The sequence below is a fragment of the Homo sapiens genome, chromosome 2 (genome assembly GCF_000001405.40).
Source record: "Homo sapiens chromosome 2, GRCh38.p14 Primary Assembly".
Classification (NCBI taxonomy): domain Eukaryota; kingdom Metazoa; phylum Chordata; class Mammalia; order Primates; family Hominidae; genus Homo; species Homo sapiens.
Genome location: NC_000002.12, coordinates 235,116,936 through 235,137,103, shown reverse-complemented (window position 1 = coordinate 235,137,103; position 20,168 = coordinate 235,116,936). Strand labels below are relative to the sequence as shown.

At 37.7% G+C, this 20,168-nt stretch overlaps 1 annotated feature.

Annotated features, from left to right (window-relative positions):
- Positions 9,842 to 10,437: an enhancer, noted in NCBI's record as "OCT4-NANOG hESC enhancer chr2:236035311-236035906 (GRCh37/hg19 assembly coordinates)". NCBI's record gives its function as "activates a minimal SCP1, AML or CMV promoter by ChIP-STARR-seq in naive H9 embryonic stem cells {active_cell/tissue: H9 hESC(naive)}" and the evidence as "EXISTENCE:reporter gene assay evidence [ECO:0000049][PMID:30033119]".

Genomic DNA, 20,168 nt, shown 5'->3' with positions numbered 1-20,168 from the left:
AATATATTGAGACCCCAATCTCTACCAAAAAAATTTCTAAAAATTGACCAGGTGTGGTGGCATGCGTCTGTAATCCTAGTTATTCAGGAGGCTGAAGGGGAAGACTCACTTGAGTCCAGGAGTTTGAGGCTGCACTGAGCTAAGATCATGCCACTGCACTTCAGCCTGAGCGACAGAGCAAGACCCTGTGTTTAAAAACAAAAGCAGCAACAACAACAGACCCCCTCTTTCACGTTGTGTGCCCAGCTGAAGTTTTAACTTTTGTTTACAATTTAGAGCGGTGAGACAGTGACACTTTGGAGGTGTAATATTTTTATTTGGTTTACTTCATATGTCAACTATTGGTGGAATTTAAATAATATCTTGAAAATGAAGTGTATTCTGTAGTCATTGTCAATTGTTTTAAAACAAAAGTAAATCGAGCAAATAAAATTTACAAAAATGAAATGATTTAGTAGTTGCCTAAACCGTATCTTCTGTAGATGATTCAGTTTGATTAACATCTACTTATTGGTTACTGGACAATTATTTGCACAAAATATTACACCAAACTGTTACCAAGGCGTCAAAGTTGAAACCAAGATGTAGATTTTTAGACTCTTGGGAAAAAAACCAGGCCTTATTTCCTTTTTTGTATTATGATGTTTGCTTTATTTTTATTCATTTGTTTTTTTAATTATATTTATGAAATTCAATAAAAGAAAAATTTTCACTGGTAATGTTTCCTTTCTGGCCATCACTATTATTTGTTTCATTTTATAATCACCATAGCAAGTAATCCTATCTTATATAGAGAGAGGTGTTGAAACATAAGCTGCTCGGGGGGTCAAACATGCTGGGCACACCAGGTGACTGCCATCTTCTTCCGTCCCCGGGAACTTCATTTCTCCTACTGGAACGTGGCGTGGGAACCACTCACTACGTGTGGGGTTAGAGTCCTTTCGCCCCCTGGTGGTTGCGTGAACATTGGTTGCAGGGATGAACAGCTCTGGGCCTCCATCCCGCACATCGTCCATACCCTCAAGCAGCAACGCAGATGGACTCGAGGTGCGGTGTTCGCCTACTGCCTTGTGGAGTCCGACGCTGTGTCTCCCTCCACGATCCGGTTTTGGGGCTCAGATGCTGCAGAGTTGCTCCAATTATTTTTATATAGAGAGGGATAGATTACCCTCAGAAAGAAAGGGGACAAAGACCCTGCCTCCCTTTACCTCAGGCTCAGAAATATGAAACTATGCCTGAGGGGTTGGGGTATCTCTAATGTGATGAATTGAAAGGAAGGACCCTGGAATCCTGAGAGGAAATCCACCTCAAGAAATGGGGGAGACTGGAACCATGAGCACTGAAGGTTCACACCACCGTCTAAAGGCTGGCTCCGGGTCAGCTGAGTGGTGATAAGGGACACCATTTGGATGCAGCAACCCTGGTACCATTTGTGTCTGGTGAAAGAGGCCTCCCCGAGTGTAAACTGAAAGAATATCTTCAAGAGTGAATTGGAGGAGGGCTGTCCAAGGGTGAATTGGAAAAGGTTTATCCAAGAGTGAATTGGAAGAGGCTCCCCATGAATGAATTGGAAGGGGCTTGTCCAAGGATTGAAAGAGCTCACCCAGGTGTGAATTGGAAGGGTGTGTGTCCAAGGGTGAATTGGAATGGGCTTGTCCAAGGGTGAATTGGAAGAGGCTCACCCAAGTGTGAACTGGAAAGATGCTTGTCCAAGTGTGAACTGGAAAGGACTTGTCCAAGGGTGAATTGAAAGAGGCTCACTCAAGTGTGAATTGGAAGGAGGCTTCTCCAGGAGTGGATTGGAATGACCTTGTCCAAGGGTGAATTGGAAGGAGCTTGTCCAAGTGTGAATTGAAAGAGGCTCATCCAAGTGTTAATTGAAAGGAGGCTTGTCCGAGGGTGAACTGGAAGGGGCCTGTCCAAGGGTGAATTGGAAGGGGCCTGTCTGAGGGTGAACTGGAAGGGGCCTGTCCGAGGGTGAACTGGAAGGGGCCTGTCCGAGGGTGAACTGGAAGGGGCTTGTCCAAGGGTGAATTGGAAGAGGCTCACCCAAGTGTGAATTGGAAGGGGCTTGTCCAGGGGTGAATTGGAAGGGGCTTATCCAAGGGTGAGTTGTAAGATGTTACACTTGGGGTCCAGGCAGCTTTTCTGTGGGATACTCCTGATTCCATATCCTCCTTCTCTTGAGGAATCATCATAGTCTAGATACAAAGGGGATGGTCTATTCTACCAGTGAAGGGAACAGGCACCTATCAGACAGCTCAGATGCTGGACTGATTCGTGAACGTGTACAAGCACCTCTAGGCTTATTTAGGAATGCCTGAGCAAAAAAGTATTCAGAAAAAGTTTGGATCCATTTCAGAAGAGCCGGTGGGGGCCTTTGAGTCTGGGCATAAATGTCAATATGGCCTCATTTGTATTCCAGCAGCAAAGCCTGCAGCAAAGAACAAGTCACAAATTACAAAGTCAACCCCCTAAAGCAATAAGATCCCAGTAACATTATGCACCACAGGGCTAAGCGGCTTATAGGAACTAATCAATTCAGTCATTTGCAATCTACTTCTAGAGAAATTGTTATGTGTCCAGGCACTGGCTATTTAAGCAAGAAACATGCTTGCTTTTTTCAAAAGAGCTGCAATCTTTTTTGCTCTATAGGTATATACTGCATCCAGAAAAATGTCAGCAGAAAGTCATCTTTAATGGCAGTTTTTTTGAGAGCTCAGAAACAAAGGAGGTACAAGAGGGAAAAGAGACCAAAAAGAGGTATACAAGCATCAGGGAAGGAACACGCTAAAAAAATCAATCAAAGCAAGCCAGGAAAAGCAGTTGCAGACCACAGGGACATTAGTGAGAGAGAGCTGCTGCTGAAAGGAGCTCCCAAACCACAGCTTGGGCTTGACTCTGAGCTCCCCACACTGCTAGGACAGTGCTGGAGGCATAGCTGCACTCCTGGAGCCCCAGGAAGCCCAGTCTGTATCATCATCATTTCCCACCAATAGTCTCTGCCCTCCCTCTAGGACCCTTCTGGCTCCCCACAGCTCCCGCTGTGATCTCAGTTTCTTATCCTTCCCTCCCTCCCCCACCTAAAAAGGAAACCTGCTCAGGCCAACCGCTTCCTCCTGTTAAGCCCCATTTCCTAGCAGTTAGGGCCACCCTGCTTCCTGACACTTCCTGCTCATTCCTACACATCTCTGAGCTTTCCATGGATTCATGATGTGCAGAAGGACAGAGCTGGTTAGGGGGAAGGACAGAGGCTGCCCTTGGCAGGCCAGCTGAGGACACCATGATTGCAGCTCTGGCAAAGCCATCGTTGGGGGAGAGGAAGTCTTCCAACTATTTGTCAAGCAACTATTTGTCAAACTATTTGTCAAGCATGGTTTGAATTTAAGCCACAGTGAAATTCTAATTCTAATGACAATTAATAAAAGTAATTAGCAAAGCTAGTATTCAGTAATCGCCATGAACAGTAATGAGTAAAATGAACTGAGCATCATTTCAAATATGACAAATAACTAGTAATGTTTATTACTGGCATCATCTATAAAAAGATTCTCATTTTGCTCACTTAAAATGGCCTTTCATTGAGTTAAGACTCAGAAGGAACAAAATCAAATAGATCATGTCTTTGTGTGTGTGTGTGTGTGTGTGTGTGACCAGGACTCCCTCTGTCACCCTGGCTGGAGTGCAGTGGTGCCATCACAGCTCACTGCAGCCTTGACCTCCCAGGCTCATTTGATCCTCCTGCCTCAGCCTCCTGAGTAGCTGGGACTAAACGTGCACACCACCATACCTGGCTAATGTTTGAATTTTTTTGTATAGACAAGGTTTTACCATGATGCCTAGGCTGGTCTCATACCCCTGGGCTCAAGTGATCCACCTGCCTTGGCCTCCCAAAGTTCTGAGATTACAGGTGTGAGCCACCGTGCCCAGAAACCACGTCTCTTTAAAGTCAAAGGTACTCAGTGGCCCGAGGCCCATGACTTCTTGAGCACCAGTGATGGCCCTTGGAATGATGTTGCCACACTCTGGCATCTCCGCCTTCCAGAAACTTCCAATGAACTGGGCTCTCTCCACAGAAATTACAGTCTGGGAAAATAAAAGAGATAGAAGGGAAGAAAATAGTTCTTGTGGACTCTAGGGGAAAGGAAGGAGGCTATAAAATCTCTCAGTGTTTTGTTTTAGATTTCCTGGAGGACAGGAAGCTGCTTTGAGCAATTCACAATTTTAATAAAGAAAGCTGTTACTAAGTCTTCTTTTTATGCCTGGGAAAATAGCTTTATCCAATAACCAATGAGCAACAAAAACATATCAACTTCCACTCTAAGAAGAGCATTGAACTGTGAATTAATAGTCCCATCTGAGCCCTTGTTAAGTAACATGCGTATTTTGTTCTTTTTCCCCCCTGCGCCCTCCATAGGAAGAGAAGAAATAACAGGCATATTTGAAGCAGTTAGTAAACTCCAACTGGCTTTAGAACTTTTATTTTATTTTTTTAAATTTATTATTATTATTTTTGAGACAGACTCTTGTTCTGTCATGCAGGCTGGAGTTCAGTGGTGCGATCTCTGCTCACTGCATCCTCTGCCTCTCGGATTCAAGTGATTTTCGTGCCTCAGCCTCCCAAGTAGCTGGGATTACAGGCATGCGTCACCCTGCCTGGCTAATTTTTGTATTTTTAGTAGAGATGGGATTTCACCATGTTGGCCAGGCTTGTCTCGAACTCCTGACCTCAGGTGATCCACCCACCTCAGCTTCCCAAAGTGCTGGGATACAGGCATGAGCCACTGCACCCAGCCTGGCTTTAGAACTTTCAAAATACCAGTCTTGATGCCACATTAGAAAATGCAACTGCCTTCACATATTCTTCATTTTTAATGACATTATTACCAGATACATATCATTTCAGACACTGTGATACAATTTGTATCTGTAAACCTCATTAAGAGGTGGCATTTTCCAGTAAAAAGAACACCAGCGTCATCCTATTCCCTGCAATCTTTAGCTATGCGACTGGGGCAGATTCTTTTGTCCAAAGACGGCCCCAGCAAAATCTCATTCCACAGGCTCTTCTGTGTTGTGATGTTGACATACCCCGTCAACAGGAGGGCTTAAGTCCCCTTCCCTTGAATCCAGGCTGGTCTTAGTGACTGCTTGGCCAGTAGAACGTGGTGGAAAGGATGCTCTGGAAGTTGGGAGAACAGTTCAGAAGACTCATAGCTTTTGCCCATGGCTCTCGGAAGGCTCACTCTTGGTAGTATCCTCTTAAGAACCGAGCCTCCATGCCAAGAGGGAACCTCGTGCAAGCACTCTGCTCCGGGGCCCAAGCCGAGCTCCCAGGACACAGCCAGCATCAACTGCCAGTGTCACCAGGAAACAGTTCTTTCCCTACTTTGTATTGGTTACAAAGAAAGAACACCCAATTGTAAAAAAAGGCAAGCAGAGTTTATTCAGTGGCCAGGAAAGGAGAAGGAGAGCTCCTTCTGCCCAGGCTGTAGGAAGCTGGGGAAATTTAAGGCATTCGATGTGGGGCAGGGAGGTAGGCAAACACGTGCAGGGAGGAACTCCATCGCGCAGGCGCAGGTCATAAACACGCGCCTTCATATGTCACGCAAACAGAAAATGGCAGTGATTTCCTTTTAGGGTTGGGGATCCTAGCCTCATCATCATATATTAATGATCTAAAGGTAATAAGGGGTTGTCGGTTCTGATTTGCACCGGCTTCTTGCAGGCCTTTTCTTCCTCTGGTATTTGGCAAAAGACTACGAAGTTCCTGCAGTGTTCTAGGCCAGCTGGAGATCTTTAAGCAGGAGCACCTATAGATAAAGAGACTAGAAAAAGACTGGATATGAAAATAATGAGCTTTTTCAGCTCTTTCTCTAGGGCTGCCCTGGTAACACTAGACTCGTGAGTGCACCATCTTGAAGGCCAGCCCAGTGGGCCTTCAGGTGGCCCAGCCCCAGCCAACAAGTGGCTGCAGCTTCATGAGAGACCCAAGTGGGTGCAGCTGAGCCCAGTCAATCCACAGAACCCTGAGAAGTAATAATCAATTGTTGTTTTAAGCCACTAAGTTTTGAGGTGGTTTGCTATGGGGTAAGAGATAACTAAAACACGGCTTGAGGACCTTGGTCTGGTTCCTCAACTTTTCAGATTTTATTTTTGCATCTGTTAAAGAGAGAGAGAGAGAGAATGATTTTCAGGACTGACCTATACTAGAGGCTTTGGTGACTATCAAATAAAAGTACTTTAAAGATCTATTAAGTGCTGTGCATTGTTACTGCTTTTATCTATCAGTTCTTCCTTCTAATTCTATTGGTATTTCTTTTTTTCTTCTATTTTAAAAATTGCCCCTCTGGCAGGGCTCATGCCTGTAATTCCAGCACTTTGGGAGGCCAAGGTGGGAGGATCACTTGAGCTTGGGAGTTTGAGACCAGCCTGGGCAACCTGAAGAAACCCCGCCTCTACAAAAAATACAAAAATTAGCTAGGTACGGTGGTGTGAGCACCTGTAGTTCCAGCTACCCAGGAGGCTGAGGTGGGAGGATCATTTAAGCCCAGGAGCCAGAGGTTGCAGTGAGCTGAGATGGCACCATTGTGCTCCAGCTTAGGCGATAGGAGTAAAACTCTGTCTCAAAAAAAAAAAAATAAAATAAAATAAATAAACAAATAAATAAATAAATAATTACCCCTCCGATCACAAGAATAATACAAATTTACCATAAAAATGTGTCAAATAGACAAAAGCTACAAGAAGATATTATAACTATTTACAATTCTTTCATAGAGCTAGAAGTATGGTAGCATTTTGGAATACATCCCATCAATCTTTTCTATAGATGGACTGATATTCACACATATGCAGTAGATGCCCTCTTAGCTGAACAGCGAGAATGATTACTTGGTTGGTTAATCAAAAAACCGATAGTAGAGAATCATAAAAAATACATAAATACATTAAATGTTTTATTTGAATTTAAAACCTGTAATAAATTAAAACAGACAGTATCTTAATGCAACGCTTTGACTCTGCCTGGAATTCTGAGTCATTTTTCTTACGTAAACCGCACCCAGAATGCATTCTTTATGATGTATTATTTTGTATTCTGTAAAGCCAAGTAAGTCCTTAAGGACATGCAAAAGAAATCTAAATGCAGAATCTTTCCAGATTTTATACTTTTTTCCCCAGCCTTTACAATTATCTTACTAAAATCTCATCACTGAGTTTCATATATATTTTTAAGCAAATCACTTTTGTTTGTATTTCTACAGGATTTATCTTCAATTTCATAGAAAAACTATGTTGATAGTTATATTTCATTTGTTTATTGTATATATACATTGCTTAATTATAATAACAAGTACAATAAACCAAAACTGATTTGGAAACAAATGAAATGCATTAGTCAAAATTAATCAGAAGAGCTGAACAACACAACTGTTAAACTTGAAAGCTGTCCCCAACTCTAGTGAAAATACATTATTTTCAAATAGCCATAAAAGTATCCATGAAAACATTGACGATGTTTTAGACAAAAAGAAGCTACAATAAATGCCGTAATGGAATAAATTTTGAATTAAGAAACAAAACCTAAAAAGTACCATATGACTGAAAACTAAATATTATATTTCTAAATAAAGATTGAATTTAGGAGTAGACATCCTAAAAATGGTAAAATATTTATAACTGAATAATATTAAAATCCTGCGGGTCAACATTTTGAAAACCAGAAAAGTCAGTATATAGAGAAAAATGTATAAATATACTTACTAGGAAGCAGGAAAGATTGCAAACAAACAAGTTAAATATTTTTGTCTAGAAAGTTGTAAAAAGAACAATTGCTCAGATATTAATAAAAAAGGAGTGAAATAATAAAAATAATGTCAGAAATCAACAAAATAGAGAATAAAAATAGAAAAGATTAACAATACAAAAAGTTGGTTTTATAAAAAGAAAATTAGATAAAACCTAGGAAGATAAATTAAGAATCAAAGATAGAAAATGCAAATAAACAATACAGAGAATGAATAGGCCAGGTGCAGTGGCTCATGCCTGTAATCCCAGCACTCTGGGAGGCCGAGACGGGTGGATCACCTGAAGCCAGGAGTTTGAGACCAACCTGGCCAACATGGTGAAACCCTATCTCTACTACAAATAAAAAAATTAGCCCCGCATGATGGTGTGTGCCTGTAGTCCCAGCTACTCAGGAGGCTGAGACAGGAGTATCACTTGAACCTGGGAGGCTGAGGTTGCAGTGAGTTGAGATTGCACCACTGCACTCCATCCTGGGTGACAGAGTGAGACTATCTCAAAAAAAAAAAAAAAAAAAAAAAAAAAAAAGAATAAATAGATGGGAAGCTACAGATTTTTAAAAAAGAGAATATCATGAACAACTATGCTCTGATAAATTATAAAAGCTGGAGAAAATAAATAAATTTCTAGAAAAAATAGAGAATGCGAAAATAGGCACAGAAAAAAATAGAAAACTTGAACAAAACCACAAAAATGTAAAAGCTTAAATGAAAATTAAAGACCATCCTCTCCTGAAAATAACCCCTAGGTTCAGTTTGACAGGTAATCAAACTTAGATGGAAGAGATAATTTCCATCTTACATAAATTATTCTAGAAAATGGGAAGCTTCCAAATTAATTTTTTGATGCATGTGTAACTTTGCAAAATTGGGTAAGGTAGTACAAGAAAAATATATATAGTTCCATTTCATTTCTGAACAGTCATGTAACAACCCTAACAAAATACTAGTGAACCTAATCTAAGAAGATATTTTAAAAATTACATCTTAATCAAATGAGGTTTATCTGAGTATTGTAAAGATGGCTCAATAGCTGAAGAATCTAAGAATGTATTTACCACATTGTTAGTTTAAATGGTTTGTCTGTGTCCCCACCCAAATTACATCTTGCTCTGTAGCTCCCATAATCTCCACTTGTAGTGGGAGGGACCTGGTGGGAGGTAATTGAATCATGAGGGTGGGTTATTCCCAGCTGTTCTCGTGATAGTGAGTAAGTTTCACAAGATCTGATGGTTTATAAAGGGCAGTTCCTCTGCATACGCTCTCTTGTCTGGCACCATGTAAGACATGCCTTTGCTCCTCCTTCACATTCCACCATGATTGTGAGGCCTCCCCAGCCATGTGGAACCGTGAGTCCATTAAACTTCCTTTTCTTTATAAATTACCCAGTCTCGGGTATGTCTTTATTAGCAGTGTGAGAATGGACTAACACATTAGTTAAATTTTAAAAGCCTTAAGATTATCTCAATAGAGTCAGAAAATACTATTTAATAAAGTTCAATAATTATTTATATTATTTAATCTTCTTAGCAAACTAGGAAATATGGAGAACTTCACAACCTACAGCAAACATCTTATTTTATTTATTATTTAATTTAAATTTTTTTTTTTTTGAGATGGAGTCTCACTCTGTCTCCCAGGCTGGAGTGCAGTGGTGTGATCTCAGCTCACTGCAACCTCCACCTCCCAGGCTCAAGGTATGCGCCACCACACTCAGCTAATTTTTGTGTTTTTCTAGTAGAGATGGGGTTTTGTCATGTTGGCCAGGCTGGTCTTGAACTCCTGATCTCAAGTGATCCACCTGCCTTGGCCTCCCAAAGTGCTGGGATTACAAGCATGAGCCCAGCTATTATTTAATGAAAAGATTTCAGCTACTAGTATCTGAAGAAATACTGGTGGTAATGACATATAAGACAGTTATAAAAGAAAAGTGTTAATAGTGTTTGGAAGAAATGATTTAAAACTACATTTTGCAAATGATATGATCCTATTGACTAAGACTCTCTCCACGACCAAACTGAGCCCTCTACTCCACTAGGCCTTGAGCTTGGCCTGTGAGAACTGCAAACTTTCATCACAAATGATTTTTGTCCACCCGCCACACTAAGAGACTTGAACATACACTTGCATAGTTTCTTTTAGCTCAAGCCCATGTCCCTAGGATGACAGCCCCAGTCTCCTTAAGTTCCTGTCTGAGAAAGCTCAACACGCCAAAAGAATTTACTGTTTGTTCCAGCCAAATCCTGACTAAAGGCCCCTGACCTCCCTTTTCTTAGAGCATTTACTTTAGAAACTTGCATTTGTAAATCCGGTCTCTGTTCCTTTGAGATGCATCTTCTACAACACAGGAATGTCTTTCTTAAGGACCTGGGAGCCAGCCAGGTCCTTGTTGACATGTAATCATCAATAAATATAGGGCCTTTGCCTCCCCATCTGTGTGGAAAGTTAGGAACCTAAGTTGGATAAACACTAGTTGGCAGACACAGATGGCCTAACATTGACCCACCCACCATCGTCTTCTGCAATTGTCTACTTTCCTGACTTTGCTGGAATCCCTGTTTATTTCCCCTTCTTACTCTCTCATTCTCTCTTTAAAACACCCAGTCATCTCTGCACAGATCAGAGTTCAGCTCAGTTCTGTACTGAACTCTCTCCCTCCTACTGCAATAGTCTGAATAAGATCTGTGTTGTCATTTTAAACAAAACTCTGGGAAAAAATTTCTCTCCAACACTACACTTAAAAAATAAACATAATTGACTATTTAGAAACAATGAGAGAGTTTAGAAAAGTCAACTAGATACCAGATCAAATCACAAAAACACAACAGCATTTTCTGCATAGGTAACTACAACTAGAAAATATAATAAAAAATAATATGCAATTCACAGCAGTAACAAAACTATGCAATATCAAAGAATCTCCTTATGCATGTGAACATTATGAAAAAAAGTGCTATGAGAGAATAAATAAGAAAACTAAAAACAAAAATGTAAAAGTATGCTATGGATGAGGCGAATTACCTTTTAAAGATGTCAATTTTCCCAAAAGATCATCTATAAATTTCAAGCAATTATATTAAAATGTTCAGATAGTTTTTTTTTGAAAATTTTAAGCATCTAATTGATTTGTATGGAAGAATAAAATTCCCAATAGGTAAGTGAACCTTGACAAAAGAAGATCAAAAAGACAGACTTGACCTACTAAATTAACACAGACACAGAAGTTATTCCAACAGTATGGTATGGTGCAGGTAAAGGTCAGATAAAGGCAAATGAAACAGAGCACAGATCTTAAAGTTCCTTGAAAATTAAGAACTTGATGTATAGTAAAGACAGCATCAATGAAGAAAGACTGTTTTGTAGATATTATTGGGAGAGCTGGCTCATTGTACAGAGAAAACAACACTGGATCTTACATCATAGACTCAATAAAAGCACACTATACTAGATGGATTGAAAACCTAAATGAAAAAGGAGCACTCAAGTGAGCACTGTCTCAGCAGTGGCCCAAATTAGTCAATGACTAGAGGCTCTTCTGGTCCTGCCTAACAAAGTCTAAAAGCAAGCCCCAAAGGATTAGCCTGTTTTCAAGTAACTTAGCCATGTCCCAGGACAAAACCTAAAATAATGCTAAGGAATAGAAAATCATCCAGTCCCCCAAAACGTAAAATTTATAATGTCTAATATCCAATAAAACATGACCAGGTGTGCAAAGAAGCAAGAAAATATGAACCTTAATTAGGAGAAAAAACTAATCAATAGAAACCAAACCAGAACTGACAGAGATAATAGCATCTATAAGAACATTCAAATAGCTATTACAAATAGACTTCATATTTTCAAGAGGGGAGAGGAAAGCATGAGCATACTCAGAAGGGACAGGGGAAAAAAAAGACCCAAATCAAACTTCTAGAGATAAAAGCAAATACAAGATCTGAAATGAAAAATGCAATGGATTGGAATAATACATATTAGACACTACAGAAGAAAGTAAACTTGAAGACAAAGCAATGGAAACTAAATAAAGCATGCAGAGAAAAAACCTGAAAAAAAAATCAATGAACTGTGAGATGGCTTCAAATCATCTAACATATGTGTATTTGGCATATACTTATTAAAAGAAATTTAATTCGTAGTTTAAAACATTTCCACAAAGAAAATTCTGGTCCTAGATGGTTTCCCCGGTAAATTTTATCAAACATTTAAGGAGGAAATAATGGCAATTCTATCTAAACTCTTCCAGAAAATAGATGGGGAGGAATGCTTCCCAATCCATTCTATAAAGCCAGCACTACTTTGGCAACAAAGCCAAACACAGACATTGTAAGAAGAAAATAAGAGATCAACATCTATCGTGAAAGTAGACATAAAAATTCATAACTAAGTTTTAGCAAATCACATTCAACAATATCTAAGAAGAATAATATATTATGACCAAAGTGTGGTGATCCCAGGAGGGCAAAGCTAGTCTAACATTGGAAATCACTCACTTGTCAGACTAAAGAAGAAAAGCCACATGATCACTTGAATAGAGGCAGTAAAAGCCTTTGGCAAAATACAATATCCACTCATAAAAAAAACTCCCACAAAACTATAAATAGAAGGGAACATCTTCAACCTACTCAACGACATCTATGAAAAAACTCCATTCAGTGTCATAGATAATGGTCAAAGATTAATCAAAGATTAATGCTTTCTTATAAGATCCAGAACAACGCATAGATGTCTGCTCTTACCACTTCTATTAAATGTTGTACTGGAGGTCCTAGCTAGGGCAATAAGGCAATAAAAATAATTAAAAGGCACCCAGATTGGAAATGAAGAAGTAAACTAGTCTTCATTCCCTTATGACATAATCGTGAAATCCCGTGGCATCTACAGAAAATTTACTAGAAGTAATAAGTGTGTTTAGCAAAATTGCAGGATATAAGGACACTATGTAAAAACCAGTTATATTTCTATATACTGGCAAAGTCGGAAATTGGAATTGAATAATTAATACAGTTTACAATAGCATCAAAAAATTTTAAGTACTTATGTGTGAAGTTGGCAAAAGATGTGTAAGATTTGTATGCTGAAAACTACAAAACATTGCTGAGAAAATTTAACGAAGACCTAAATAAATAGCCCTAAATAGAGAGTTCATTGTCTAAAAGACTCAATATTGTTAGCATGTCAGTTCTTCCCAACTTTGATTTATACATTCAGTGCAATCCCCGACAAATAAAAATTCCAGATTTTTTTTCTTGGAGTTGGGGGTGGGGGGATTGACAAACTGGTTCTAAAATTTTTATGGAAATATAAAGAAACTAGAATAGTCACAACAATTTTGAAAAAGAAAAACAACATTAGAAAACTTAAACTACTTGATTTCAAGACACTATGAACTACAGTAATCAAAGCAGTGTGGTATTAGAATAAAAATGGATCAGGTGCAGTGGCTCATGCCTGTAATACCAGCCCTTTGGGAGGCCAAAGTGGATGGATCCCTTAGCCCAGGAGTTTGAGACCAGTCTGGGCAACATAGGGAGACCTCATCTCTCCAAAAAAATACAGAAATTAGCTGGGCATAGTGGCATGCCCCTGTGGTCCCAGCTACTTGTGAAGCTGAGGTGGGAGGATGACCTGAGCCCAAGGAGGCTGAGGGAGCTGTGATTTTTCGACTGCATCCCAGCCTGGGTGACAGAGTGCAACCCTGTCTCAAAGGAAAAAAAGAATAGAGGTAGACATATAAATCAATGGAAGAAAATAGAGTCTAGATATAGACCCATATTACATGGTCAGTTGATTTTTGACAAAGGTGCAGAGATAATTTAGAGGGGCAATAACAATGTTTTCAACAAAAGGTGCTAGAACAATTGGACAGCCACATACATAAGAATTATCTTTTCCTCACATAATACACAAAAGTTAACTCAAAATAGATTATAGACCTTAATCTAAGAGTCAAAACATAAAGACTTTCAGAAGAAAGCATAAGAGAAAATCTTAGCAATGTTGGGTTTCCCAAGGATTTAAAAAGTAGGATTTAAAAATAAAAACTACTAATTCCAAAAGAAAAGAATCAGCCAACTGGACCTCATCAAAATGAAAAACTTTGCTCTTCAAAAGACAGTGTTACAAAAATGAAAAGACAAGCCACAGACTGGAAGAAAACATCTGTAAATCATGGACGTAATCGAAGTCATACACAAAGGACTTGTGTATGGAGAGTACAGAAAGACTCAAAAATACAATTGAAAAAGAAAAACAACATGATACAAAATTGACCAGACACTTCACCAAAGAGCATATACAGATGGCAAATAAGCATACACAAAGTTACTCATGAATCATTAAGGAAATGAAAATTAAAACCACAAGGTACCACGACACAAGTATTAGAATGTCATCGATATAGATAGATAGATATAGATAGATAGATAGATAGATAGATGATAGATAAATGACAATACCAAGTGTTGGTAAAGATGCAAAGTAACTGGAACTTTCATGCACTATTGATGGGAATGTAAAGTGGCTCAACCACGTCGAAACAGTATAGCAATTTCTTAAATATTAACTATCCACTTACCATACTGACTTTTACCATACATGGCTTTTATCCATGAAAACTGGAAACACATCCATACAAAGACTTATGCACAAAGTACAAGTATTATTACTTATACTGTTATAAATTTAAAATTATAAATATGTTATAAATTATTATTGTTTATACTAATCCAAAACTTGAAATAACCCAAATGTCCAACAAAAAGAAGTAAATGGATAAAATCGTGGCCTATGTACGCAAGGCAACACCACTCAATAACACAAAAGAATGAGTTAACACACAACATGGATAAAATTCAAAATAATTATGCTGAAGGAAAGAAGCCAGACCAAAAACAATATATTCTTGTGCTTCCACTTATATACAATTCCAGAAAATTCAAACTAATTTATAGAGACAAAAAAATGCGTAATTTCTGGGACTGGAAATGAGTGAGAGAAAGAGATGGATTATAGGGTCTTGAGTAAATTTTGGGGAGTGATGGATAGGTTCATTATCTTCACTGTGGTGATCTTTTGTGGGTGTATATGTATTTTAAAACTTATCAAATTGTATATTAAATAGATGTAATTTATTGTATATCAATTATATCTCAATAAACCTACTTAAAAAAAGAAGAAAACAAGGCGGGGAATCCCTTTGGACCCAGGCAAGTAAGCGGTTCTTTAAAAAGTCAAAGTAGTACAATTATAAGGGGGGAAATTATTATTTGATTATATCAAAATTAAAGATTTCTGTTCTGTAAAGTACCACATAGATAATAACAACAGACAGATGAGTGATTGGTTAACGATATTTGCAACATCTATGACTAACAATGAATCAATGCCATGAAATTACAATCTTGTTTCTTCTGTAAATAAACAAGAAGACCAGAAGCCCTATAGAAAAACAGGCAAATATGAACAAATAATACATAGAGAGGAAATGCTAATAGCTAGCAAGAATATGAAAATGATGTTCAAGATTGTACTACCCAGGGAAATTAAGATATCACTTTAATCTCATCACTATGACAAAGTAGAATAATATCTATATTTGCCAGAAAAAAGAGAAGCATGGGAGGACTCCTCATAAAAGAGATTGTTGCAGCCATTCTGAAGAGCAATCTTCCAGGATTTGCGAAATTGCACGCGCGCGCGCGCACACACACACACACACACACACACTGTTACTTCACAATCACACTGGCAAATACGTATCCCAAAGTGATTCTCACACAGGTCCGTGTGGAGACAAGTAGAAGGATGTCCTTCGCAGTAATTTGGGGATAGTTGGAGGCAACCTAGGTGTTCATCGCTAGGGGAATAGATAAGAAAATGAAGTTGAGGCAGGTGAAGAAATAGCTGCCAGGCTTTGTGACAATACACCAGATATTGCAACAGTAACATAGGGAGATCTTAAGAGATATAATGAAAAGATAAGGAACCATTTAATGTAAAGCAAGGAACTATGTCGTTTACACTTTATGTGAATTAACTTCACCACCACTCCCCACCCCGCCCCCTGCCAACACACACACATTCACAAACTTATTTTCCAAAGACACATATCAAACCCTCTAGGGCAGCTCCATCTGAAGAAAGAACTAAGGAGGAGAGAATTGGAGAATGTGGAGGCGGGAAAAAAATGAATGTATTAAAAGCCAAGAGGGAGTCTTGTACAAATCATGGTGATGTTGTACCTTGAACTGAAGAGAATAACTAATTTAAATCTCTGCAACTGAAGTGCCAAAAAGAAAAGTAAAACAGAAAAGTATCTGTATGTTCTTAGCTTACAAAATCTTTGTTTTTATCAAGAATGGATCTGGCCCCCCCTCCGAAATCTCTTATTTCATTTGTTCCTTTTATCTACTTGATTAAATTTATTAAGAGAATAATTGTGTTTCACTGTATGACAATACCATAATTTATATATTCATTCTACTATTCAAGGATATTTGCATTGTTTTGCATTTTTAGCTTTACATTTAATGTTGCTATGAATGCTTTTGCGCATATATTTTGGTATATTTGTGCATGGGCCATAAAATATGTGTATATTCAATTTTAATAAATAATACTAAATAGATTTCCAAAGTGCTTATATCAATTTACTTACACTGCCACTAATAGTGCACATGAATTACTCCACATCCTCATCAACACTTAATGAAGTCAGTCTTTTAATTTCAGCTCATCTAGAATGTATTTAAGAATTTAGCTAATAAAATGGTAGTCTCTTACTGTGTTTTAAATTTGTATTTCTCTGGTAGCTAATGAAGTCGAAGTTCTTCTTAGATTCTTTTGGAAAGTTCCTGATCAAATTTTTTACACATTTTCCTTTTCATTGATCTTGAATATAAGCCTTTGGTCAAGTACATGGTTCACAAATATAAACATTTATATTTGTTGGTATTGCATTTTTATTCTTTTAAAGGTCTATTTTGGTAAACAGAAATGCTTAATGTCAATCATCAATTTATGTTTAATTTATCAATTATGTTCATTAGGTTTAGTGTCTTTTTAAAAATCTATTTCAGAAATCGGTTCTTACATCAAAGTCATGAAGATATTCTCCATCTTTAGTATTTCTTTTAGTGCAAGTCTACTGGATACAAATTTTCTCAGCTTTCATTTGTCAAAAATTCCTTATTTTGCTTTATTTTCATTAATATTTTCAATGTTTATAAAATTTTAGTTTGGCTGATACCTAGCCCTTTAAAGATGTCATTCCACTTGCTCCCATGAGTATGTTGTACAGTCAGCTGTAAGCTTTATTCTTGATCCTTTGAAAGTAAAGTATTCCCACTATTCCCGCCTGCTTTTAAGATTTTCATTTTGTCTTTGGTTTTCAGCAGCTTGACTAAGATGTGCCTATTCTAGTTATCTTGGGGTTTGCATAGACTCTTGAACCTGTGGGTTGTTGTCTTTCATTATATTTTAAAACATATACTTAGCCATTCTGTCTTCAAATATTATTTATGCTCTTTTCCCTCTTCTCCTTTGGGGACACAATATTCTGTATATGTACACAATATTCTGTACTGTTCATTCCATTATTTTTCTCTCTTTGCTTCAGTTTGAATAAATTCTATTCCTCCCCATCTTCTGTTATGTCCAGTGTACTGTTAAATTCATCTAATGAATTCTTCATTTCAAATATTGTATTTTTCAGTTCTAGACCGCCCAGTTGCTTTGTTCATATATATTCAATTATGTTGAAATTCTCTATATTTTCTCTTGTTTTTCCATGCCATCCTTTATTTTCTTGAATGGCTAATCAATTTTTAAAATTTCTCTTTGATAACTCCAATATCTAAATCACCTGTGAGACTATATATAATGTTTACATTTTTCTTAACGTTTGTTTCTCTTGGTCCTGTCTTTTTTACCATAACCTTTAATTTTTATATTTTATTTTGCTCATTGTAGATAAAAATTGTAGAGGCTCCGATAATGATGTTTTTCTTCAAAGAAAGTTTTTTTCTTCCTGTCAGGCAGTTCTCTATCAGTGAATCACCTTGGGTCCCATGGAGGCTTGATTTTCAGCTTTGTTAGAGGTGGTCTCTATTCCTCATGCAACGATTTAAAAAAATTCCCACAGGGAAAACAACCAGGGTTAATGTAGACATTATCTTGTGTGAGCACTATTCGCAATAGCAAAGACCTGGAACCAACCCAAATGTCCAACAATGATAGACTGGATTAAGAAAGTGTGGCACATACACACCATGGAATACTATGCAGCCATAAAAAATGATGAGTTCATGTCCTTTGTAGGGACATGGATGAAGCTGGAAACTATCATTATCAGCAAACTATTGCAAGGACAAAAAACCAAACATCGCATGTTCTCACTCATAGGTGGGAATTGAACAATGAGAACACATGGACACAGGAAGGGGAACATCACACACCGGGGCCTGTTGTGGAGTGGGGGGAGGGGGGAGGGATAGCATTAGGAGATATACCTAATGTAAATGACAAGTTAATGGGTGCAGCACACCAACATGGCACATGTATACATATGTAACAAACCTGCACGTTGTGCACATGTACCCTAGAACTTAAAGTATAATAAAAAAAAGAGAGAAAAAAAAAGAATACCAGAAAAGAAAAAAAAGAAATTATCTTGTGTGCTTCCCTTCTCTCACTCTCACAATTGTGCCTTTCAGTACTGTCTACATTAGTTGCTGCCCACTGCTTCACACAGTCATTTTGTACATTTTATTCAGCTTTTATAGGATTTTTTCTTGGCATGAAAGTTAGTCCAATTTAAGTCACTCCATTATGTCTGAAAGCAGACACTTGATTTGTCTCAATTAGAGATATTTTACAAAGCTTTTATGGCCTCACTTTTTACATGCCTGATTGGAATATAGAATGTTGGCGTTGTGAGTATGTGCGTGTGTATTTGTATATACACATACTTCTACTGCTTTCATGCTTCTGTTAATTACTCCTTGTATTTCAGTTTTTGCTTTATGTATTTTTAAAGCTGTAGATGGCACTTTCTATAAATTTAAATGTCCAATTTTGTCTCAAGTATTTTTTCTAGCCATTGCTGTCATAAAATTTCTTTCTCTCGCTAGTAGTTTGGTAGCCTGGAAAAAATAGGAGTGGAGAAACTCCAGAGACCATAATAGCAGGGAGAGTTACCACCTTACCACTTTGTTTCTTATCGTCTTTGCCAAACCATCCAAACATTTATCTGTTTTGTTCACCGTTGCCTGTCATGCTTTCCATATAGAATAAACTTTTAATGTTATTTAATTGTAACTTCTCTTTTAATCAGCAGTCTATTGTGGTTTTGTATTCTAATAGAAGATGGAAGCCTTTGCCTTTTAATAAATAGCACTTATTACGTGTCAGATTTTATGCTTTTTTTTTCAGTCACCTTGATATTTCTTTTTTGTTATTCCATTTACTCTAGGAAACTGTGATTCACTTCCCCATGTAAAACTGATCCCCAGGCATTCAATCTATTCCTTAGTCGTTAGTGGTTGCCCACTAAGTTTCAAGCGAGGAGACAGCTTCCTGACTTTCAATCCATTAATACATTTTGATCACAGTCCCACCACTTAACTATCTTTGTCATCTCAGGTAAGGTCCTCAGTTTTGTCACCTCTAGAACAAATCAATTAAACAAAATGATTTGTTCTCTACAAGTATAAAGGTTTAAAAGATAGTATTCCACTAGGCTTTTTTGCTTATTTTCTTAATAAAAACACCCCAAATATTTCTAAAGCAGCAGGCTTCTTAGCTTTCTCTGAAATTACTTCAGGCAAAGGCACTATTCAATTATGCTTATCAGCTCAGACTGATGGGCTATATGTCTAAAATTGGCCCATAAAGGTAAAAGCATTATTAATTAATACATGAAAGCTTAGGAAATAAAGTACTTTGGAAAATCTATGAATTTTCATTTGAATAACATTACAAAAGAATTTAAGTTGCAAGACCATATACAACATCATAAGTTAGGGAGGAAAATAAAGAATAAAAAGAAATTTCAGATACAGAACCAATGGAGATGGAATTACTAGTTTGGGATGAACGGACTGGAAATAAACAAGCTACTGTTTCCTTCCTCGTCTTTTCACAATCCGCTGCAATGGATTCAGAAAAAGAAAGATTGTAATTGTTACAGCCTGTTTATTTCCACCAGGGGGAGGTATAGTATTGCAAATAAAGTTAAATTATTTAACAAACAGAGTAATAAAATAGCTATTGACTGAAAACAGGCTTTTTTTTTCTGGTTTTGCAGAAAGAAGGTAGGGAAGAGAGAGTTCTAAGACTGTGTGAATTAACCTTTCATGCTTAATT